Source organism: Homo sapiens, chromosome 7 (genome assembly GCF_000001405.40).
Source record: "Homo sapiens chromosome 7, GRCh38.p14 Primary Assembly".
Classification (NCBI taxonomy): Eukaryota; Metazoa; Chordata; class Mammalia; order Primates; family Hominidae; genus Homo; species Homo sapiens.
The window spans coordinates 134,662,964-134,688,563 of NC_000007.14; the positions used below are offsets into that span (position 1 = coordinate 134,662,964).

At 39.4% G+C, this 25,600-nt stretch overlaps 1 protein-coding gene and 1 long non-coding RNA gene across 9 annotated transcripts in view, besides 1 other annotated feature; one reads left to right on the forward strand and one right to left on the reverse strand.

Moving 5' to 3' along the window:
* Nucleotides 1–16,853, forward strand: part of BPGM (bisphosphoglycerate mutase) — a 32,964-nt gene extending 16,111 nt beyond the window's left edge. For all 5 annotated transcript variants that reach the window (NM_001293085.2, NM_199186.3, NM_001724.5 and 2 more), the window contains one exon: nt 15,890–16,853. In NM_001293085.2, the coding sequence (NP_001280014.1) occupies nt 15,890–16,068 (179 nt within the window). In that variant the 3' untranslated portion in view covers nt 16,069–16,853. The remainder of the gene's footprint in view (nt 1–15,889) is intronic.
* LOC124901750 (uncharacterized) overlaps nt 1–25,600 on the reverse strand; it is a 224,798-nt gene that overhangs the window by 43,877 nt on the left and 155,321 nt on the right. For 2 of the 4 annotated variants that reach the window (XR_007060536.1, XR_007060535.1), the window contains exon 2: nt 4,026–4,127. The exons of the other annotated variants lie outside the window; for them this stretch is intronic. This is a non-coding gene — a long non-coding RNA (uncharacterized LOC124901750). The remainder of the gene's footprint in view (nt 1–4,025; nt 4,128–25,600) is intronic. 4 annotated transcript variants of the gene reach the window in all.
* Nucleotides 19,294–19,588: a silencer, noted in NCBI's record as "tiled region #7726; HepG2 Repressive non-DNase unmatched - State 24:Quies". NCBI's record gives its function as "represses a minimal TATA promoter and a strong SV40 promoter by Sharpr-MPRA in HepG2 cells {active_cell/tissue: HepG2}" and the evidence as "EXISTENCE:reporter gene assay evidence [ECO:0000049][PMID:27701403]".

Consider the following 25,600-nt stretch of genomic DNA (forward strand, 5'->3'; position numbering starts at 1 on the left):
TGTGGATTTCTCGTTTCCCTCTCTGCCTCCACTCATCCCAGATGGTTGTGCTTTTTGCGTGATATGCCCTGTCTGGTGTTTTCCTGCCTTTCATCACTGTCAGCAGTTAGCTTACTGGTAATAAATAGAAGAAATTTCTCCACCATTCGTTTTCATTCTGCTTTAATTTTCTATAAGAGGCTGTGACAAATAAAAAGGCTGACCTTGTATGTGAAATAAGTAGAAATAGATTATTAGTTAAAAATGAAGTAATCTTTAGCATGTGATTATTTTCCCCTAATTTTTATAACATGACCAAGAACTAAATCATTACTTGTATAGCTGACATCCATTAGTCATGCAGAGACCTAAAATCTACAGACTATTAGATACTAAAATTTTATTGGCTAGACATGGCACTTGATATGTGTGTGTGTGTGTGTTTGTGTGTGTGCACGTGCGCATGTGCGTGGGCACATGTGTATCTTATTTACTCAACTATATAAAAGGTTCTATTCTTGTTCAGAATAATTAGATCTTTAACTTCATTATTAGTGATATATAACTTCATCATTAATGGACCATAGTATTTTATTGTTTGAAGAAGAGTTGAGGCTTCTACTAGACAACAACAAACTGAAATTCAGAATTTCAGAGTTTCTGCCAGAGGTGTATTCTATTCAACCGTGCCAACTCCTTTTTCAGAGCTGGGTCTCAGATTTATTGTGGCCAGGCTCCCTTCTCTCAAGAAAACACCACTATCTCCTTTAGGATCATCTTTCTCCACCTTCTTAGCTTGGAAGTCCCCCTTTTAAAAAAGTTTCCTACTGTTTAATACCATTGACTCTTCACCTATCTTCAAATTTATTATAGATCTCTTTAAAACGATTCTACAGCCCAACCACAGCTCATTGTACACATCCCCTCCTGCTAGTGCATTGATGATTTAACTATTTTTTACTGTTCTTTTTGAGGGAAATCGGAAAGTTTAACAAATGATGGTAAAGAAGACTATAACCATGGTGGGGGCAAAGAGAGAATTACATGTAGAGGTTGTGTTTAGACATAGCAAAACTTACTTTTCTACATTTGAGGGAGGCTTTGAAACTATTAGCAATTTATTTAATTAATTTAATCAAATGGTGTACCTGCTTTGGAAAACAATCTGGCAGTTCCTCAGAAGGGCTAAACATAGAGTTACCATATGATCCAGCAATCCCACGCCTACCCATATAGCTATATTAGCTTCCCAGTGCTGCCGTAAGAAAACAACCAAACTGGGTGGGTTAAAACAACAGAAATGTGTTTTCTAGGGGCTGGAAGTCCCAAATCAAGGTGTGAGCAGGGCTGTGCTCTCTCTGATGACTCTAGGAGACAATTCTTCCTTGCCTTGGCTAGCTTCGGTGTTTGTCGGCAATCTTTGATGTTCTGTGGCTTGCAGAAGCATCACTCCTTGGCATTCTCCTTGTGTGTGTGTTTCTTATCCACATTTCCCCTTTTATAAGGCCACCAATAATATTAGCCTGCCGCCTCCCACCAGTGACCTCCATTTTAATGGGATTATTCTCTGTTAAACACTGTATTTCCAAATAGGGTCACATTATGAGGAGTTTGGGACTTCAGCCTGTCTTTTTGAGGGGATCACAGTTCAAACCATCACAATGCCCAAGAGGAATGAAAGCACATGTCCACACAACAACTTGTACCTAAACCTGCAGAGCAGCATTATTCACAATAGACAAAAGATGGAAACAACCCAAGTGTTCATCAACTTATAAATGGGGTCTATCTATACAATGGAATATTATTTGGCAATGAAAGGGAAGGTGATGCTGATACATGCTACCATATGGGTGAACATTGAAATAACTCTGTTATGTGAAAGAAGCCAGCCACAAGGGATCACATATTAGAGGATTTCATTTATATGAAATACCCAGAATAGGCAAATCTTTAGAAACAGAAGGTAGAGTGGTTGTTGCCTAGAGGGTAGGGAGGATGGAAGATTTTGCAAGTGATTTGCTGATGGGTACAGAGTTTCTTGTTGGGGTGATAAAAATATTCTAAAATTGATTGTAGTGAGGGTTGCACAACTCTGAATATGCTAAGAGCCATTGAGTTGTACACTTTGTGTGGGTGAATTGTATGTGAATTATATCTCATTAAAGCTGGAAAAATAATCAATGGAATTGAAAGGTTAAAGGATTTGTCATTGGCCTAGAAAACAGTGGGGGGTGGCAAACATACGGAAGTGATAACAAAACTGAAATGCATGGCTGTGGAGTGTAGAATACTGGGGAAAATCAAAGTGCACATATACACCATGGAATACTATGCAGCCATAAAAAATGATGAGTTCATATCCTTTGTAGGGACATGGATGAAATTGGAAACCATCATTCTCAGTAAACTATCGCAAGAACAAAAAAACAAACACCGCATATTCTCACTCATAGGTGGGAATTGAACAATGAGATCACATGGACACAGGAAGGGGAATATCACACTCTGGGGACTGTGGTGGGGTTGGGGGAGGGGGGAGGGATAGTATTGGGAGATATACCTAATGCTAGATGACACATTAGTGGGTGCAGCGCACCAGCATGGCACATGTATACATATGTAACTAACCTGCACAATGTGCACATGTACCCTAAAACTTAGAGTATAATAAAAAAAATAAAATAAAATAAAATAAAAATTAATGAAAAAAAAAAAAAAAAAAAAAAAAGTGCAGCTTTGACCACTGGGGCAGAAGTGGACTTACAGGGCTCATTGGGAAATAAGCAGGCATTGGTCTTCAGGCAGCTTCCAGTCCTTCATCTAAAGGGCTTTTTATTTTATTTTATTTTTTATTTTTATTTTTTTAAGTTGGAAGTATGAAACTGAATGACCTTTTCTTTTCTTTTAGAGATTAATGACATTTTCTTTTCTTTTCTTTTCTTTTCTTTTTTAGACAAAGTCTCGCTGTGTTGCCCAGGCTGGAATGCAGTGGTTCGATCTTGGCCCACTGCAACCTTCGCCTCCTGAGTTCAAGCGATTCTCATGCCTCAGCCTTCTGAGTAGCTAGGATTATAGGTGTGTACCACCACACCTGGCTAATTTTTGTAATTTTTTAGTAGAGATGGGGTTTTGCCACGTTTGCCAGGCAGGTCTCGAACTCCTGGCCTCAAGCGATCTACCCACCTCAACCTCCCAAAGTCTGGGATTACGGCATGAGCCACTGCGCACCTGGCCATTAATGACATTTTAAAGTAGCCTTACATTATAACTCCTATCCCTATTACCATAAACAGGCTTTATAGAAAATGTTTTTATTTGGGGGATAATTGATGTAAAACAGTGGGGTTGGTGTAGAAAGAAGTAAATTGTAGGAAATGACTTCAGTAGGAAGTATGTGAACACAGAAAAAGACATGGGCTGCCAGAGAGGGAGGTATCTATGAGAGAGGTAGAGAATAAAAATGATGGGGTTGATGACCAAGGAGGATGGCAGATAGAGGGAAAAAATGGCAGAAAAGCCAGAACATGCAGTTAGGATAAGACCATAGCCTAGAAAACTAATGGAATGGATGTGAGGATCCGGATTTGTCCACAGGAAAATAGAAGGATGGTTTGTAATCTTGATTCTCACCCATTCTGGATATGATGACTTTGTTCCTTTTTGGCCTATAGTACCTCCTGGTGGTACTCCAATTAACACTAATGGAGTTCTTAGATGTTGCTGTAGTTCTCTACTGTGACTTAACTCCCACACCTAACATGGAAGAAATTATGTCATGTGCATGAAATAGGCTGGATTGGATTTCAGGATCACTGCATAAGTTATTGTCTCTAAATGTCAATCTGTGTTAGTAAAGTTTCTCTTACAGTGTCTATTGAAAAATAAGGTCCCAAGTATTCTTTTTCACAACTGCAAGAATTAAGCATAAGTGACTTTCTCAAGATCAGAAGACATAGTATGTCATCATATTTTTTTCACATCATTTCTGTTAATTTAGTGAGATTTTAGCCCTTTCAAAATTGATTGTAGATGTATTCACTCACCAGAATAGGCATGTTAATCTAATGTTAGTCCTCTTGTATTGCATGTCTAACTTTCCACAGCTCAAGTTACAGGGTTTGTGTGCTTCTTGGTAACTTACCAACCTAAAAGAAAGCATTTCATTGGATTTAGATGCTAACTTTTCAAGACTCAAAAAATTAAGTGAATCTCCCCTACTGTTTAGGGGGGAAATAAAGGTTTTCTTTTATAGGAAGGACTGCTTTGCCAGTTCATGTGTATGTGTTTATGGTGGTACAAAATATAAGTTACCATCTTAATTGCCAATTTATGCTTACTATCAAGTTACATGATCATACATGCCCATTTTGTGGTTAATGCCTGTTGTCCGAATGTAATTATTAATAGCATCTCCTTTTACTTTCAAAAGTGCCCCAGTCTGGATGATAAATTATGTGGTTACCTCACTATAAAAATATTGAGCTGGGTGTGGGGTCACGCACCTGTAGTCTCAACTACTAGGGAAGCGGAGGCAGGAGGATTGCTTGTGCCTAGGCTTGAGATCAGCCTGGACAACATAGTGAGACCCCATTTTAGAAAAATAAAAACGTAAAAATGAAGACGTTAGCTTTCACTACTGTTAAGAATTGAATCTAGAAATGGGCATAACCAGGGTTTTATATTTCCTGTAAGCACAAAAGTTGCTAAATTTCTTTGCATTTATTATAAAAGTAAAAACACTTGTGGCTGCAGATTCATCTGGTTCCAAGCCGTGCTTTCTAGAGATGTTTATGTAAACTTCTCCCATATAAAATGGGCTCTTTCAAGGGACTGGAGTAATTTTTCCCTATTTTGTCTCTAAACTGCTTGACAAGCTAAAAAAGTTTTACCTACTGGGGCGGAGTGTGGTAACGGATAGCATCAATGACAGCATACTGTCCTATCAGAAAAATACTTTCTTATTGTTTGAAAACTAGGGTGGGAAGAATCATGACCCCAGTTAAATAACTAATTAGAATATTGGTCTATGCTGAAATCTCAAATTGCTTTAAGATCTTTCTACTAAGAGTATGCTAGTATTACTCATCTCCTCTTAGGTCTAGTCTTAGAGGTGTCATCCATATACCTCAACAGTAAAGAGTGTTGGTTCTGAAGATGTTAGTTGTTTCTCAGATATTTGATATTATGACACTGTAGGCAGTCATATCCTGACTGATGCTTTCTCCATTTGTGGAAAAGAAGACAGGTGCTGTTGGAGGAAACTGAAATCTAAAGAGACTCTAGATTCCTTGGCCGTGATCATGGTAATTAGTTGGCATCAAGAACTCTACTCAAAACTCAGTTCACTGAGGCTCCACACACAGTTATCACCTGGGCTTTAAAACTTTTTTCTAAAAGGTAGCCTTTCCCTTGACCTATTCTTTGTTTGGAATACTGTGTTTTAAGAAGCTGAGTCAAGAACATCCATGGCAGGTAAACTATAAAAAGGTAATTTAATGCAACTAATTGAGTCTTAAATTATTACTGCTGTTATAACATTGTGGTCTGAATGGCACACTCTAGCATAGCTATACGGGATGACCTTTATTCAGTGCATACTGCATGCCAAGCACAGTTTTAGGCATTTTACGTACACATGTTGTTTTATGTAGGAACTAGAACATGGCTCTGAACTCACTGGAAAGCTATGGTTCAATACTGCGTTTTACTTTGCTGTTTAGTATATCCTGGTCATATTTTTTATTTCATTTGATCAATCATTGATCACTAAGCTGTTTTGCTTAAAGAAACTGCTTTAGTAAAAAGAAGCAAACTATTGATACACCCATCATCATGGATGAACCTCAGCTGCATTTTGCCAAGTGAAAGAAATTGGGCTAAAAAAGCTGTGTATTGTATGATTCCATTTATGTGCCATTTGGGAAAATATAGAACTATCGGGAAATAACAGATTGGTGGGGTAAGAGTAGGCTGCTGGGGGCACAAGGAAATTTTAAGGGGTTGATAGAGCTGTTTTATATCCTGATTGGTTATTACACTACTGTATGCAGTTGTCAAAACTCATAGAACTGTATGCTAAAAAGGGTGACTTTTGCTATATGTAAATTATACCTGAAAAAAGACTTGCTTTATCCAGTGAACTCACCATTGCCTTAATTGGGACCTTACCTTTTGTTCACAAAGGTAATAGACTACATTAGTCAATTAGGAGAATTAAGTGAAGGGTTGAAGGTTTGCTATATGCACCTATCTGTGCCTTTGAAAACTAACCTGGAGGGCATTTGTTATGCTTTCTCAAGGCTTCAGGAGCCATCTGGTTCTGACTTTAGCACCTAAACCATGGTCATTATAGGGAACTGCCTTTTAAAGTCCTTCTTCATGAGAAGTTATGTTTGAGAATCTTGCTAATGTTATAGGTTGAAAGCTCCTCTAATAAAGGTTTTTTTTATTTTTTTATTTTTTTATCCCAGACTATCTCTGCTTATTATCATCAATTTCTTTAGCCTTAATTGGGCCTTCCATCCCCTCCTTTTTCTCTTGTAACAACCTAGTCTAGGAGCGGGTCAACAAGGACCTCCTGGAGTCAGCGCAGATGAATGGTACACTGAGAGGCAAGTGATACTGATTCGGAGCTAGATAACACTCTTGTATAAGAATTGCAAACACTGAAACCACATGTCAGTGCCTAAGACAGGCTTCCTGGCTGATGGGGATGACCTCTCCCCTGTCAAATGACTTATTTATATAATATCTCTGCTCATAAATCATATATGCTTTTGAGATTGCTTTACTTTTAATCTGATGATAGTTAATGCTTTCGGAAGAAGTCAAAACAAGACATACAGAATATTATATAGTAAAAAAATGCCTACTTAAGGGACTGCTTTACTGGCTTTTAGAAGTACCATTATTATGCTAATAAGTCCAGGTTAAAAAGCAGGGCCCACCTCTGACTGGTTCAGACACACTTCTCACAAAGCACCACCGTGAAAACATCTAACGCAGACCTAAGTATCTGAAAGCATCCTGTACTGTAGCGTTCCAGACAGGCGTGTGTTTCATTCTCTGTGGTTGGCATAGTCACTTCCTGTTTGTTTCCTGCTGGCGCACGTCCAAGGAAAAGCCAGGTACCAAACTGAAACACTGGATGTAGTCTGCATCTTGCCAGAGGAAATGGATTGTTTAGTCTGGGTTTAAGCACAGGACGAGGCAGTTTCAAGTTTGGAGTAAGAGTGACACACAAGACACTCATGCAAGACAGACTTGATCCCTGAAGACCTGTGTGCAGCTGCATACATAGCAAGGCACAGAAGTGCTGAGATAAAATTAGAGACTCAGGGAGGAAAGGTCAGCTGGGACTAGCTGTGGGGACGGGGACTGATGAGTTGGTTACCTTTGGCATTTTAGTGTGATATTTTCAGAAGCAGCCAATTCAGGCCTCGCTTCTGTGAGGCAAGTAGTTGCCTATTGGTGTGGTTAAGCTTTCTTTTATAATAATTGATTTATAGAACCCTTTATTTTTTAAACATTATAGGCTATTTTAACTATAAAATTAAACGTAGAATGGATTCTTCTCTCTGCCTTACTCTAAATTAGTGGCTGTTATTTTATCGTGTTATTCAAATCACCCTAGCATATCTTTACATATATAGTATTCAGATCTTAAAGAATTAAAATTAAAAATAGATCATTTATGAAACTCTGAATCTCTAGTTTCAGCTCTTATTGGCCATAAAGGAATACAGAACTCTTATCACAGATTGTCGGTGGGGTTTGAATTGTGACTTACTTGACCAGGAGAGGAAAGTGAGGAATGAATGGGTGGCACCTTATTAAATGAATGAGTTGACTGGAGTTGTTTCCCTTTTTTTTCTAATTCCAAAGAGTATACACTACCGAATTGGGGTTTCTTCTTTCCTTCTCATCCTGTAGCGAATCTTTCTGTCTCTCTGACCATCTCTTCTGGTTTTCTAAAATTCAAAGATTTTGAACACTTTGGAGAAAATCAAAGAACATCTAAAGCCATTTAATTTGAATTGTTTATTTTATTGGCACTAGATGTAAACAGCTTTTTGTTCAAGGCTAAGATTCTTTTAATTCTCCTTTTTTTTTCTTGGTAAGGTCATAGGAGAGCACAGTGTTTAATCAAGGCTTCAACAATAAAAGACTAGATTTAATTTGAAAACCCAGAGAGTTCGAATTTATTCAATTCAGGTTTGCACCTAGGGTTCACTAAATCAGGTCTTGTTCATGGTACAAGGGATATAGCACCTATATGTGAATGAGACACACAAGGTCCTTTTGTGGAGCTTTTAACCTCTTTCTGAAATTTGTCTGTACTGTACCTCTGACAAAGTCCTTAGGGTGTTTTCATATATAGGCTTTATGTTTTAGGATTTTTAAATTAACATTTTGTTCTTTTTTTTTTTTTTTTGAGATGGAGTCTCGCTCTGTTGCCCAGGCTGGAGTGCAGTGGTGCAATCTGGGCTCACTGCAAGCTCCACCTCCCAGGTTCACGCCATTCTCCCACCTCAGCCTCCCAAGTAGCTGGGACTACAGGTACCCGCCACCACGCCCGGCTAATTTTGTTTTTGTATTTTTATTAGAGACGGGGTTTCACTGTGTTAGCCAGGATGGCCTCGATCTCCTGACCTCGTGATTGCCTGCCTCGGCCTCCCAAAGTGCTGGGATTATGGGCATGAGCCACCACACCCAGCCTAACATTTTATTCCTTATAGCCTTTAGTTATATGTAAAAAGTAGATTCACATAATAAATACAGCTGTAATTACTTAGTGGATCATATTACTGAATAATTTCTGGACCCTAGCAGCCAAACCATAAAAGTGTTACTTACAGTTGAATAAACATTTACTAAATCTTGCAGTGGGTAAAGCACTGTGTTGTAACAGCATGGGTGATACAGAAATGGATCAAACATTGTTCCTGCTCTCAAGGAATTTATAATCCTGGTGGGAAAAGTGAGCATTTGCACAAGCACCTCTACCAGGAGGTGCTTTAGTAGATGTACAGTGTACATAACAGTTTGTCTTTGGTTCCTGTTCCTGCTATGGTGACTTAGGGGAGGGGGTTGGTAGGTGCAAATTTGACTTCCTGAAGTTATTCCTCTATGCAGAAAATAAAGTTGTTTGACTTTCTCCCCAATTTTGGCCTTGAGCTACTTCCTGGACTTATTACCCCAAACTTTCATTATTTCTTCCTTAAAATATCCCATTATTTAAATTGACTGCAGTTAGCTCCTAGGTGCTTCTACATGAAGATTCGATACTTAAAGGCAGACTTTAAGTATTTAACACAGACTTAAAGACTTTAACACAGACTTAAAGACTTCAACACAGACTTAAAGGCAATGGTGGACCCTTAAAGACAAGGGTAGCTGTGAAGGGAAACACCACTGAGTTCTCACCCTGCACCTGCTCCTCTCCACCCTACTGTAGAACACAGTGCCTTGCCCATTGCAAGAATTTAGTGAATGTTTGTTCAACTGTAAGTAACACTATTATGGTTTGGCTGCTAGGGTCCAGAAATTATTTAGTAATATGGTCCACTAAGTAATGACAACTGTATTTAACTCCACACCACTGTGGAGAGGGGTAGGTACAGGGTGAGAACTCAGCAGTGTTTCCCTTTTCAGCCAACCCTGGAACAATATGGATTTGAACTGCATAGGTTCACTTATACATGGATTTTTTCCCAAAACAACTTGGATCAAAAATACTACACTTGCTAGATGTGAAATCTGTATATACATAAGGCTGATAGGACTAATTCAGTTTGGTTTAATATAGTTCAGATGCATTATTCTGGCCTTAGGAGCTCTGCCTGCTTAACTTTCTTAGGATGATGAATGTAACTTATGCCAAAATTGAGTAATGAGTAATGGCTTCACTGTGGTTTTTCCTAATTTGCTGTTTTAAAATTTTAGTTGGCCGGGCGCGGTGGCTCACACCTGTAATCTCAGCACTTTGGGAGGCCGAGGCGGGCAGATCACGAGGTCAGGAGATAGAGACCATCCTGGCTAACATGGTGAAACCCCATCTCTACTAAAAATACAAAAAAGTAGCCGGGTGTGGTGGCGGGCACCTGTAGTCCCAACTACTCTGGAGGCTGAGGCAGGAGAATGGCGTGAACCCAGGAGGCGGAGCTTGCAGTGAGCTGAGATCGCGCCACTGCACTCCAGCCTGGGCGACAGAGCGAGACTCCATCTCAAAAAGAAAATAATAATAATAAAATAAAATAAAACAAAATTTTAGTCACTTAAGTCTCATTGACTGATTATTAACCAGTCTAAGTATTTTAAATATTTGTAAGTAATTAGTCTGCTGTGTGAATGGCTTGAGTAGTCATTAAAGTGGAATGTTGATTTTATTTATTTATTGGAAACATTTCTATTTTTGTTGAACTCTCCTTCCTTTGTAGTTGAAATATTACGGCGGCCTTTGTTTATTTGGCTCTTTAATTTGGTCCCACACAAAAGGGACCAAACTTGAGAGTGCTGCTATTAAACAGGGGACCTGTTGGATCCGGTTAGATCTGAGGCCATGGTCAAACAAGTGAATCCCATGTATACCCAAGCCCCTTGCTGAAGACCTGGAACTCGTTTCTAAAGTCACAGACAACAACCCCTAAACATGGCCCATCATAATCGCAGTGTGTTAGCTGGGGATCAGACAAACTTATTCATTCCCTTTACCAGTCGTGGGAACACTGGATGGCATCAGCAGATGTCCATTTAGGACCCAGCCTTTCACGAGGGCAGAGCATTCATATAAACATTCTTCTCTCTCCTCCTCAGTAGTCGTGGAAATAACCATGGATAAGTCACCTGACCAGGGTTTAAATCCTGGGGATTTGGTAGTTTAAAAAGGTCCATTTTTACTGCCTTAATAGTCCTGTGAGTAGAGCAGGTTTTTATTTAACCACTCTGGATCTGTTTCCTTTTTTTTTTTTTTTTTTTTTTAAATTGAGACAGAGTCTTGCTGTGTCACCCAGGCTGGAGTGCAATGGCACAATCTCGGTTCACTGCAACCTCCACCTCCCAGGATCAAGCAATTCTCCTGCCTCAGCCTCCCAAGTAGCTGGGATTACAGGCGTCCACCACCACGCCTGGCTAATTTTTGTATTTTTAGTAGAGACAGGGTTTCACCATGTTGCCCAGGCTGGTCTTGAACTCCTGACCTCAAGTGATCCACCCACCTCAGCCTCCCAAAGTGCTGAGATTAGAGGCATGAGCCACTGCGCCCAGCCCTGTTTACTATTTTTTAACATCTTTATTGCGTTATAATTCACATACTATGCAATTCGCCATTTAAAGTATACAATTAAATGGCTTTTAGTGTATTCACAAAATTGTAAATCCATTACCACAATCAATGTTGGAACATTTTCACTACCCTAAAAAGAAACCCAGTGCCCCTTAGCTGTTATCACCCCCCCAGTTCCTCCCCTATTCCACCCAGCCCTGGGCAACAACTAATCTACTTTGTGTCACTATAGATTCACCTGTTGTGGACATTTCATGTAAATGGACTTATGCAGTAAGTGGTCCTTTGTGACTGGCTTCTTTTATTTAGTAGCATCATGCTTTCAAGATTCATCCAAGAACCTTGTTGTGGTTTGGTTCAGTACTTCATTCCTTTTCATTGCCAAATAATATTCTATTGTATGGATATACCACATTTAATTTATCTGTTCATTAGTTAATGGACATTTGTGTTGTGTTCACTTTTTGACTATTATGAGTAATGCTGCTATGAAGGTTTGTGTACAAGTTTTGTATAGACTCATATTTCACTTCTCTTGGGTATATGCTTAGTAGTGGAATTGCTGGGTCATATGGTAGATCTGTGTTTAACAAAAGGAATTGCCAGACTGTTTTCGAAAGAGGCTATAGCCTTTTGCATACCTGATTTTACAGTGTATTATGATTCCAGTTTCTCCACATCCTTATTCACACTTGTTTATAATCTGACTTTTTATTGTTGCCATCCTAGAGGGTACAAAGTAGTATCTCATTGTGGTTTTGATTTGCATTTCCTTGATAGCTAGTAATATTAAGCCTATTTTTATGTACTTATTGACCTTTTGTATATCTTTGGAGAAATGGCTGTTTAAACCTTTTGCCCATTTTTAAATTTGATCATTTGTCTTTTTATTATTGGAGACAGTTCTTATATCTGATAAGGAACTTGTATCTAGACTATATATGATATACAAATTTTTCTCCCATTCTCTGGGTTGCCTTTTTATGTTCTTAATAGTGTCCTTTGAAGCACAAACATTTTTAATTTTTATATACCCAGTTTATTTTTTTCTTGTGTATGCTTTTGGTGTCATATCTGAGAAACCATTAATTAACTCAAGGTGATGAAGACTTTACTCCTATGGCTTTTTTTCTAAAAATTTTTACAATTTTAGCTCTTGACTCTAAGTCTTTGATTCATTTTGAGTTAATTTTTATATAAAGTATGAGTCAGGGGTCCAACTTCATTCTTTCACATATGGATATACAGTTATCCCAGTACTATTTGTTGAAAAGATTATTGTTTCTGCATTTCATTGTCTTGGCACACTTGTTGGAAATCAATTGATAAAAAATATGAGGGTTTATTTTGGGTTCCCAATTCTATTTCATTGATCTGTGTGTATCTTGATTACTATAGCTTTGTAGTAAGTTTTGAAATCAGGAACTATGAGTCCCTTGGTTTATTTCTTCTTTTTCAAGATTGTTTTGGCTATTCTGAGTACCTTAGATTTCCATATGAACTTTAAGATCAGTTTGTCAATTTATACAAAAAAGTCCATTGAGATTTTTGATAGGATTGTATTGAATCTGTATGTTAATTTAGGAAATATTGCCCTCTTAACAGTGTTATGTCTTCTAATCCATAAATACATATTTAGGTTTTCTTTCATTTGAACACTGTGTTGTAGTAGTCAGAGTATAGTTTTGTACTTCTTAGGTTAAATTTATTTTTAGCATTTTATTCTTTTTGATGTTATTATAAATAGAATTGTTTGCTTAATCTTTCATGTTGCTTATTGCTACTGTATTAAAAACCCAATTTCCTTTTCTGTATTGTTCTTATATCTGCAGCCTTGCTGAGTTTATTAGTTCTAACAGGTTTTTGGTGGGATCATACCATCTGCAAATAGAGATAGTTTTACTTCTTCCTTTCCAATCTGGGTGCCTTTTATTTCATTGTCTTGCCTAGTTGCCCTAGCTAGGATCTTAAATACAATGTTGAATAGAAGTAGAATGTTCAGTCATTCTACAATAAAGTCCTAGGTTCAAGAACTTAAGATTAATAGTTGGTGACACTGCAAAGGCACACATCTATGAGTGGTGAATCCAAGATGCTGATAGATATATACACTCATAGTTTCTACTTCTGGTAAGCTTTAGTCAAACATGGTCACTTTTGTTATCTTTTAACAAATTAATTTTTTATAGTGAAAATTTAGATTATTTGGAGAAATCTATAAAATCCATTTTTCTCTCCAATTTAGTGAGCAATATGCTTACAGACTCTGGAAACAGATAAAGCATGGTCCTTGCACAGTAGATGAATGTAAACAGTACTCAGTGTACTCATGCTCTTGTGTCTCTAAGGTGCCTCTGCTTTTCTTAACCATTAAGAATAAAATACAGGAATGTTGGTGCTAGAGGGACTTATTTTATAAATGAAAAAATAGTTCATTGGAGGTAAAATCTTGGCCAAGGTCACTCACACATGTTCTTCCACAGAGTACTAGGAATATAAAGGGCCCTCAGTTACTAGTTAGTGAATGAGTTAGGTTTGGAGACCTCCAGAGCTTCCCCTGGATTTGGGAGTGAGCACTGTTGGATTTGAAAGGCTCAGTGGTCACCTGACTCCAAACAACAGGCTGTTGACTTCCCCTCCTGCTCTTTCCAAGGGATGTTTGTGGTGGCTGTTGTGCGGCTAGCTGACATTTCTGGCCTGTTGAAGCCAGAAGGTGTTTAGAATCTAGAGTAGTCATCTCCCTGCTAAACAGCTAGAGGTCTGGTCTGAGTAGATTTGTTCTCAGCAGCTGTAGTTTGTGATGGTAATCTTCTCTAAGGTTGCAGTGTGAGGGTGGGGCTTGGCAGGGCAAAGGAGTATCTTAGTAGCCTTCCCATTAAATCTGCTACCTAGAAGGGAATTCCTAATAGAGAAAGAAGAGACACTTATTGTGCTACCCTTTGTTCATGTATGTTCTCTTTTAAGCCACCCCTTTTATCCCACAACCCTTTAAAATGCTGGCAAAGGAAGAGTGTGTGTTTCTTTTCTTTCTTTCTTTCTTTTTTAATTGACAGGAGAATTGGAGGTCCAGAGAAGTTACTTGCCTAAAATTCTGTATTACATTGAAGGGGTACTGGCAGGGCAGGTGATGGGACAGTACACTTACTTGGAAGAGACTGTGTCTTCTGAGTTAAGATCCTTTCCATTTTTCATAGTTGTTTGAGTATGGATAGTTTGTGTATAAGAGTTATTAGGGAGCTCTTCTAGGCCTTGACGTGAAATTCTAATAAAGAGCCACCCCAGCAGTAAGCATCCAGTGCTACGATTCTGTGACTGTTTGGCTGGTGCTCACAGTTAGGATCAATGGCTAATTAAAATGAAAAGGTGCATTGATTACTAACCAATAACAACTTATTCTGCCACTCTCAAGTAAAGACAAACCCTTGGACTCCCCTGAACTTGTTTCACCTAGGTCCTTTCTGTTAATATAGAACAGGAAGCATATAGTTAGAATTTAGAAGTCTATGTGATTAATAAAGGAGTGTTTTTAAAGTAGATAATTTGAATACTTTCAGTTGTCTTTTAGCTTGCTGAACTTCATCTCTTTCTCATGCCTTCCCTTTGCTCACTTTGAACTCAGAAACTTGAGAGGAGTTACATTATACAGTGGGTACAGACCCCTAGGTTTGAATCCAGGCTCTGTCATTTACTCTCTGTGTGATAATTGTTTACTTAACCTCTCTGTGCCAGAACTTGTTACATGGAGAAATAATATGTCATCATATTGCAATGATGATTAAATGAGTTAATACATACAAAATGCTTAAAAGAGTACCTGGCATGAAATATGAACTCAGAACATGTTAGCTGTTTATTGTTAAAAGTACTTATAAAGAATATTATTACTACCACTGCTACTACAACTACAGCTCTTCTGGTCCAAGTTGAATTACCTGTAATTCAGTTGTACTTTAAAAAGGGCTAAAGGTGGCTTGTGTTTTATATATACCTTCCTTTTTTAGCAGCTGGAATGTTCAGGGATCATAGGAGAGCGAGCCCTGTTCACAGGCATGCTGTAAAATCCCTTCCTGATTCCCTTGACTGTGCTTTCTAAGCACCTGGGAAAGCATTCCTGTTGGACTGGATCTAGCTCAGGGTATTGCAAGCTCACTTAGTGTGGGAAAACCAAACACATTTTAAGCAAATGAACTAGATTTAGAGATTAGCGAAAAGTCCTAATTTTAGTACCAGCCTGGGTACAACACATAAAAGGAGAAATACAGCCAATGCTCCTGGTTCACTTTCTGATTTTTCGAGATTACCTGATTCCTTGGAAAACTAGTAACACAAATGTGGGCATAGAGAAAATAATTTTCCTTCCTTTCGGATTTAGATAGGAAACAGGAACAGATTGTCCCAAAAGGTATCTACTGTCCTGATGTAGCACTTGCTGTGAATCTCTAAGCCTTTTTTCTTGTAATTTCTGGAAAGTTCCTGGCTTCCAGGAATTATAGCTGGAATCCCTCAGTACCTGCATGTTTCAGGCACACAGTTAAATGGGATTAAAGTGCAGTTATATAATTAAACAGAACTTCCTCCTGAGTTGTGTTTTAACACCTGGTCTCTTCCTGTCCTGATCAACAGGTATCTCAGATGAAGACATCATCAACATTACTCTTCCTACTGGAGTCCCCATTCTTCTGGAATTGGATGAAAACCTGCGTGCTGTTGGGCCTCATCAGTTCCTGGGTGACCAAGAGGCGATCCAAGCAGCCATTAAGAAAGTAGAAGATCAAGGAAAAGTGAAACAAGCTAAAAAATAGTCTTTCTCAACTGTTGGCTAAGAAGAAATGCAAAAGAAGTGGCATAGGAGTGTGTTATGGGTGCTGAACTCTCTCTCTTTTTCCCCGATTTTCCAGAGCTAGGCTGTGGAGTAGAGTTTGTATAGGTAACTAGGTAACTTATTGTGGCCCAGATAAGGCTTTAGGATGCCTCAGTGCTTATGTCATAGCCTTATGAGTTAGCTTTCTTGCTAGCCCCCTAGTCGGTCACCAAACTAGTAACTAGTGGGGCTTAATGAAGGTCATAAGTTTCTGAGATGGGAGAGCAACAAGTAGAGATGAAGTTAAAGGTATTTATCATTCAAGAAATCATTATTGAGTCACCATTGACAGGCACTATTCTAATCAGTAGTTCACTTTAATATTTAATAAGATTTTCTGGGATAACAGTAAGGGATATTAGATAATATACCGTATGTATTTATTACTAGTCTTTTCCTCTAGGAAAAGGGATACTTTGATAATTAAGGCCAGAGGCCCATTAGTTGAGAAAGTCACAGATATATTTCTCCAAGAAAGCCAACAACCACCACCACAATGACAGAAATGACAACAAGGCCCTTTAACTTGTCTTCTAGTTTAGAGACATCCTTCATTTGACATTTAGTAGAATTCCTCTTTGGCCACAAGAATAAGCAGCAAATAAACAACTATGGCTGTTGAGGTTCTCATTTTGGTTTGTTTTAATTTTTTGAACTTTGGGTACCTGTAATTAGTTTAAAAATAAAGTTCCTGATAATAAAGTGACTGAAAATGGCATCCCCAAAGTGTCTCCGTGTGTTTGGTGAATTTTAGGTAGGCTTCTAAACTAGTCTTTGACTCATACTTTCCTGTAACACTCAAAGAAAGAATTGCACTTATTTCAACACAACAGATACTCATGATTTTCTATATGTTGAAGCATGAAGCAGGGAAGGTAGAATACAGTGCATGTAACTTCATTCACATAAGCAGAGGGAATGGTATATTGGGGCTTGTGACATAAATTTGTTCATTAACTAACTGATGGCAAAAGATTATGGTATGTAGCACGGAGCAGTCAGGGTAGGCCATGGACACGATTGCATATCTGTCTTAATGATACTCTTTTGCACTATGTTTTAGATGCTGTGGGTACGTAAGTCATCATTTCTTTAAGCCGTTGACTCTGTTTCAAAGCAGGTCACATATATTTCGATGATAAAGTCATGTAAAACATTTGTAGCTATAATACCTGTTATAGATATTTTCCATTTTTTTCATGGTTTTTCATTGGATTAGTTTATTTTTATCCACTTTATAGTACAATTGGCATTTGAAGAATACTAACTTTAAAGTATTTTTGCTACTGCTTTGTCTCCATTTGATTATTAACGCAAGACTTTTAACGATTAGCCAAAGAAGATGGTTGAAAAGAAGAACCTGCTCTGCCTGCAGCTGGCCACATCTGTGATGCATAAGGACATGGAATGTGGATGCTTTACATTTATTAATTACCTACTATTGGTTTCTCTAGTGTAGCCCCTTCGTTTTAGTGGTGTTGATTAACCAAGTAATACTCTAGAATTCAAATATCAGGGTCAAGAATGCAACTACCAGATGATGTTCGTAGAATTCCAAACCTATGGCTAGGCTGCCATAGTGATATTCACACCATTTTTGAATATCATCATCTCTGGAACTGGCCTCTGAGTTTTCCAGCCCAAGGGGTGACCATGTCTTAATGTACTTCAAGATCCTAGAGTTGGATTCTTCCATTGTCCTGCATCAAGGTATCTTCTTCCAGGGAACCTTCTGGCAGCATGATGTGCTTCTGCACACAAAGCAACTGTCATATCCAGTCACTTTAGAATCTCACAGGCTTCCCAAGAAAAGGATGATTTTTGCTAATACAGTACTCTGTGATACAATTTGGTCTTACTGTTTTTGAGATCTTGGCTGAAAAAATATGAACAGAAGAGCCTTTTTTTTTTTTTTTTTGAGACGGAGTCTCACACTTTTGCTTAGGCTGGAGTGCAGTGGCACGACCTCGGCTCACTGCAAGCTCCACCTCCCGGGTTCATGCCATTCTCCTGCCTCAGCCTCCCGAGTAGCTGAGACTACAGGTGCCCGCCACCACACCTGGCTAATTTTTTGTATTTTTAGTAGAGATGGGGTTTCACCATGTTAGCCAGGATGGTCTCAATCTCCCAACCTCGTGATCCACCCCCCTCGGCCTCCCAAAGTGCTGGGATTACAGGCGTGAGCCACCGTGCCCGGCCAAGACATTTTTTTAAATGTCACTTAAAATTAGTTAACAACTCCAGCACTTCAACCTTAGGATCACCTAGTGAACCTGTTTTCTTTGCATTGTTAACAGTTTATCCAGAATTTCTGATGCAGGAATCTTGAAGGCTGCTTATTCTCTATCCCAGTCTTGGCATCCTTCTATTCTGAGGCTGGGACAGAAATTAGGGATTTATTTTCTCCTATAAAAAAAAAAGAGGGAATGACAATGACCAGCCCAGCCATGGTGGCCCCTGCCTGTAATCCCAGCACTCTGGGAGGCTGAGGCAGGAGGATTGCTCGAGCTGAGAAATTCGAGAGCAGCCTAGGCAACATAGCAAGACTTTGTCTCTACTGAAGAAAAAAAAGACAGCCTATCTAGGAATTAGGTCCTTGGAGGAGGCAGCCTATCCTGCTGCCAGTTTACGCTTTCCCTGGAGCCAGCTATGCATGTCTCCTCTGCCCAGGCTGAGATGATTGTCCCATGTGGGTCAGTGTGGCAAGATAAAGGCAATAGCAACATCAGCTGCTCCCAGAGTTTTAACTTTTAAAAAGCCTCTCAAACTAGTACCGTATCCCAGTACACTGAGAATGGTTTTTCTAAAAGAGCAGTACTGCATCAGAAGAGAAGATTTTGCATTGTGTAGTACCAATATGGGCATCAAATTAACGAAATATCCTTGGTTAGAATACATTATGGCTAATGTATTTTTCCTTGATAAGGTGTGCAAGGAAGATGAATGTGATGATCTATTTCCAAGCTCAACCAGACTCTTTTGCTCAACATTTGTAAGTTATTTCTCATCCCAGGTTGTGACCACGTTTATTAACATGCAGTTCCCAACGTGCACATTAATAACAGTTGTTATTTGTCTCCTGGCCTGGAATTTCGACTTGTATGTAATCTATATTATCTCTGGTTACTATTTAGAAGCCTGTTAGCTTGCTGTGTGTGACTTCTGCAAGATGATGTGGGATAATTTGGTAACTCTGATGTTCAAGTGCATAAAGATGAAAATGTTGCTGAGACTATTTTTACTACGTAATTCTGAAACAATTATGTAGCGTTAAAAATGAGTATAAATGTATTGATGTTATTGTAAGTGAGGTTACTCACCATGGGAGAAGAAAGATACGGAATGGAGGAAGGTAAGGAAGGACCATGTGGTATATTGGTTCTGGATGAGAGGTGTTTGTGTAAGAGTGTGTGTGTGTGTGTGTGTGTGTGTGTGTGTGTGTGTGTGTGTGTGTGTATTTTCCACTCTCTTTCCCCCAAGCCCCTCCCTACTAACTCTGGCTCTGTCTTCTGAAAGGGCCTAGAAACAATAACCCAGAAACAACAAACACACTGAATTCCTTCAATCTTGGTTCATAAACACTATTCCACAGAAGCAGGCATGTTTGGGGAAATGCCTGCTTCCAGGTTTGAGGCAGATGAAGCATAAGGTGAACTTTGAGCACTTTTCTGACTCATCAAGATGTTACAAGACTGATGGGACACAGACATTTGCTTGAAGGACCAAATTTGGGGCAATTTAAAGTAAGAAAAAGAATGATGGTAATGAATTATAGAACATTGAATTCAAAAAATAGTGCCTAAGACCATAAAGGTATTTTTTTAAAGGTGGGGAGAGAAAAAGGAGACATAAATATATACTGTTTCTTTACAGAAGATTGCCAGCTTCCATTGGTAATAATGGATGCAAGCAAGGACTATTAATGGATGCTAAAACCACTGGGCTTTTAGAGAACTGAACATTCGCATAGTCTTATAATAAACTTATTAATTACAAAGAAAAAATGTATCTTCACAATGGAGAGATCCCTTAGACACTACTGCAACCGAGTGATTAACCTTAAAATCTCCAATGGATGGGTCAAATAGATAGTATGTGATTTTATGCATGTCCTTGTTATTATAAATCAGTGGGAGGTACCTATCACTTAGTCTTCTTCCCAAAAACTTTTTATCTAAATCTAATAATGAGAAAGCAATATGACACATTCAAAATACAGGATACCCTAAAAGACAACTGGTTTGGACTTTTAAAAAATATCAAGGCCAAAAAATAAACACAAAAATATGAAGGGACAGTTCCAGATTAAATGACACTATAGGGACATGATAGTGAAATGTAATTCGTGAACTTTAATTGGATCTTTAGCTTGTAAAAATTTACAAAGAATATTTTGGGGCACTTGGGAAAATTAAAATATGTGTCTATGTAGGCTGGGTGCGGTGGCTCACGCCTGTAATCCCAACACTTTGGGAGGCCAAGGCAGGCGGATCACTTGAGGTTAGGAGTTCAAGACCAGCCTGGCCAACATGGTGAAACCCTGTCTCTACTAAGTATATGAAAATTAACCAGGCAAGGTGACAGTCACCTGTAATCCCAGCTACTTGGGAGGCTGAGGCAGGAGAATCGCTTGAACCCGGGAGGTGGACGTTGCAGTGAGCTGAGATCATGCCACTGCACTCCAGCCTGGGCGACAGAGGGAGACTCCATCACCGCCCCCCCCACCGCCGCCACCCTGCCAAAAAAAAAAAAAATCTGTCTCTGTATTAGGTGATAATAAATATTAAATTTATTGGGTATAGCAATGGTATGGTGCCTTGTTCTTAGGAGACAGCTGCTGAAGAATTTAAGGGTAAGGCATCCTGTTATCAGTAAGTCATTTGTAAATGGCTCAGCCAACACAATGTTTCTATATTTTTAGAGACAGAAAGCAAACACCGGTCATTGGTCACTTAATGATGCGACTTGTTCTGAGAAATGGATTCTTAGATGGTTTTGTCATCGTGTGAACATCATAGAGTATACTACACAAACATAAAAAATATGGTTTAGCCTATTGCTTCTACGCTAAAGACTTGTGCAGCATGTTACTGTACTGAATACGGCAGGCAATTGTAATACAATGGTAAGTATTTGTGTGTCCAAACATATCTAAACATAGAAAAGGTACAGTAAAAATACATTATAAAAGATTAAAAAGTGGCACATTTGCGTAGGGCACTTACCATGCATAGAACTTGTGAGAATGGAAGTTGCTCTGGGTGAGTCAGTGAGCGAGTAGTGAGTGAGTGTGAAGGCTTAGGACATTACTGTACACTACAGTAGACTTCATAAACACTATACCCTTTGTCTACACTAAATTTATTTAAAAAATTTTCTTCAATAATAAATTAACCTTAGCTTACTGTAACTTTTAAAAAGTTTTTAATATTTCAAAACCTTTTGACTTTTGTAATAACACATTAAAACAGAAACCTTATTTAACCATATGAAAATATTTTCTTTATGTCATTATAAGTTTCTTTCTTTCTTTTTTTTTTTTTTTTTTTTGAGACGGAGTTTCGCTGTTTCTCCCAGGCTGGAAGTGCAGTAGTGCGATCTTGGCTCACTGCAGCCTCTACCTCCTGGGTTCAAGTGACCCTCCTGCCTCAGCTCCCGAGTAACTGGAATTACAGGCGCACCACACCATGCCTGGCTAATCTTTTGTATTTTTAGTAGAGACGGGGTTTCACCATGTTGCCCAGGCTGGTCTCGAACTCATGGACTCAAGTGATCCGCCCGCCTTGGCCTCCCAAAGTGCTGGGATTACAGGTGTGAGCTACCACGCCCAGCTATAAGCTTCTTCCTATAAAATTTTTTATTTTTTACCTTTTAAACTTTCTTGTTAAAAGCTAAGACACAAATACCACATTAGCCCAGGCCTACACAGGATCAGGATCATCAGTGTCACTGTCTTCCGCCTCCACATCTTGTCCCACTGGAGGGTCTTCAGGGGCACTAACATGCATGGAGCTGTCATCTCCCATGTTAACAATGCCTTCTTCTAGAATACTACCTGAAGGATTTGCCTGAGGCTGTCTTACAGTTAACTAATATTTTTAATAAATAGAAGGAGTATATTCTAAAACGATAAGAAAAAGTATAGTATAGTAAATACAAAAAACACTATCATTTATTATCATTTTCAGGTATTACATACTGTACATCCTTGTATGTGCTATACTTTTGTATGACTGGCAGTGCAGTAGGTTTGTTTACACCAGCATCACCACAAACACATGAGTAATGGCTCATGCTAGGACCTTAGGATGGCTATAAGTCACTGCACAACAGGAATTTTTCAGCCCCATTATAATCTTACATCGTATATGCAGTCCGCTGTTGACCAAAACAGCACATGACTGAGGCACATGACTGTACAGTAAATGTCATAGCTGATGAATTGAGGAAATGATTTGTAATGTTGTATTATTCTACTATCATCTCAGCATTTCTGTAGGTTTGAAATTTTTTTAAAAAACTAGAAAAAATAAAGTGACAGAGGAAAAAATTGGTAAGTTTAACAATGTTGTGTTTAGTATAGTCATTAAAACATGTCTTATTCAGAGTGAGGTGCCTGGTTTTTTTGACTTTTTATTCTTGAAACCTCAGTCTTTGTTAAGTAAGAGAAAGATAAGAGAAAGCCTTCTTCTTTTCTTCTTTTTTTTTTCTGTCTTTTGAGACAGGGTCTTGCTTTGTCGCCCAGGCTGGAGTGCAATGGTGTGATCTTGGTTCACTGCGACCTCTGCCCCCCCAGGTTCAAGCAATTCTTGTGCCTCAGCCTCCCGAGTAGCTGGGATTACAGGTGCCCGCCACCATGCTTGGCTAATCTTTGTATTTTTATTAGAGATGGAGTTTCACCATGTTGACCAGGCTGGTCTCAAACTCCTGACCTCAAGTGATTCGCCCGCCTCAGCCTCCCAAAGTGCTGGGATTACAGGCATGAGCCACCACACCTGGCCCAAGAGAAAGACTTCTTAAGTCTGTATTATCTTGTCAAGAAACAAATTGTATACTTATTTTATTTCTATTATCTTTGAGGCTACAGCTTGCATCAGACCAGCAATGAGCTTGTGTGCTGAAACAACAAATCTGAAACACGATTATGACTGCCATCACCTTGCAGTTAACCAATAGTAATGGAATTCCTTTCTGGATCACGAGGTCAAGAGTTCAAGACTAGCCTGACCAACATGGTGAGACCCTGTCTCTACTAAAAATACAAAAATTAGCTGGGCGTGGTGGCACGTGCCTGTAATCCCAGCTACTCAGGAGGCTGAGGCAGGAGAATCACTTGAACCCGGGAGATGGAGGTTGCAGTGAGCCAAGATCACGCCACTGAACTCCTGTCTGGGCAACAGAGTGAAACTCCATCACAAAAAAAAAAAAAAAAAAAAAATTCTCGTGAACTTAACCCTAACCACACAGTATTGAAGAGGGAATGTCTGCCCAACCACACTGCTTTGTATCTGCCTGAGAGGAAAATTCTCTGGATGTCGTGTTGAACTGGATGGGGAATCAGACAGAGCTGGAGTTTGTATTAGTCAGATTAATTGCATAAAATCTACCCTTAGTGGGAAGACTCTTAGGAGTAATTGAACCTAGACCTTGACATATGTAACCTCTGAAGCAGAGGGGCAAAGGCCAACACATAGCTCTGCAACACAATTGAGGCTATGTAATCCATCCCGACACTCATTCTGTAGAATACTCATTAGAATTCTCCAGACCTAAGGCCGCTGGCCATAGGTTAGCTAGTCAGTATTTTTATCTCTGAGGATGCCTGCTAGGATCCTGGGATTGGATTGCAGGGAATGTTACTTGTAGCTGGAATTCCAGGTACTCTCCCAGGAGTCTTGGTATTTTATATCGTTTTTAAAATCTTTGTTTCTGTACGTAGACACTGGGGGTCAGTATTTATTCATAAATGCCTCTGGATATTTATGACAAAAGATTGTTTCTAAAGAGGCTTGGAATTCCTTCCTCGGTGCGACTTCTTTCCCTGATTATTAACTATAGAGTTTACCCTATGTAACCATAAAATGTAAATATAAACATCATAGATGTCCATGGATCAGAATATGGGAAAGGGGCAGGCAGTTTTCCATCTAAAATACGAATGAATACCAAGTACTCGTTTGTTTCTAGACACTTGTTTGGCAATGTTGGTCCCACCAGTGCACCCAGATGTCTAGCCAGCATCTTGACAATCACCCTTGACTTTTCTTCTTCTGATGGTTATGAAGTCCTGCTGATTCCGTCACCTCTTACCTTGCAAATTCATCCCCTCTCCATCCCCACTGTTCTGCCTTGAGTTAAGCCCTCATCTTTTCTCTTTCAACATTTCAGCAGCCTTCTAGCTGATCCCCTTGCTTCCGCTTTTACTCTCCTCTAGTCCTCTCCAGACAGTCGTCAGGGTAATTCTTCAGACCTTCAGAGGTCCAGCACCCCTCCTAGGCTCTGCCTTTGCACCCGCTGTCCCCTTGGCCTTGAACTACCCTCCATCACCCACCCCACCTTGCCCTCTTTTCATTGCCTGCCTAATATCTGCTCATCTTTCAGGGTTCGTAACAGTCTCCTGTGGAGCCCTGTGATCGACTCTTGCTGGATCTGGCTTGTTCACTTGTCTGTTCGCTTCACTGGCAGGAGAACTGAATGGATTTAAGTCTGGGTGCCAGCCAAAGTCATGCAAACTTAAACTCCAGAATTCCCTAGAATTATCCACTTGGGGGGCCAAACTGCCCACTGTTTTAGATTTGTTCTTTAAAATATTTCTCGCAGCTGGGTTTTTGTTTTCTTTTTTTCTTCCTATTTTTTTTTTTCTTTTGGAGACAGAGTTTCACACTTGTCGCCCAGACTGGAGTGCAATGGCACAATGGCACGATCTCAGGTAACGGCACCCTCCACCTCCCAGGTTCAAGTGATTCTCCTGCCTCAGCCTCCCAAGTAACTGGGGTTACAGGCACGCACCACCATGCCCAGCTAATTTTTTGTATTTTTAGTAGAGACAGGGTTTCACCATGTCGGCCAGGCTGGTCTCGAACTCCTGACCTCAGGTGATCCACCCGCCTCGGCCTCCCAAAGTGCTGGGATTACAGGTGTAAACCACTGTGCCTGGCCTAAAATATTTCTCCTGGCTGGCATTTGATCTGACCTGTCTGTTCTCTGCGGCTGTCTTCCTACCATGCCAATACATGGAAGCAGAGGTGGAAATCCTACCACTGCCGGACAGGAAGGCAGGTGAGGCTAAGTAGCCTGTCAGCACCGAGCCCTTCTCCATAGGCAGCTGCTATAATGGTACAGAAACAGGTTACTTATGGAGTTGCAACCTGTTTTTAACCTGTAATTATAGAGTTAAATATAACCATATAAACATCTTGAAAATAAGTGGGAAAGATTCCCTAATGTTCCCATCCTAAGAACTATTTTATTTC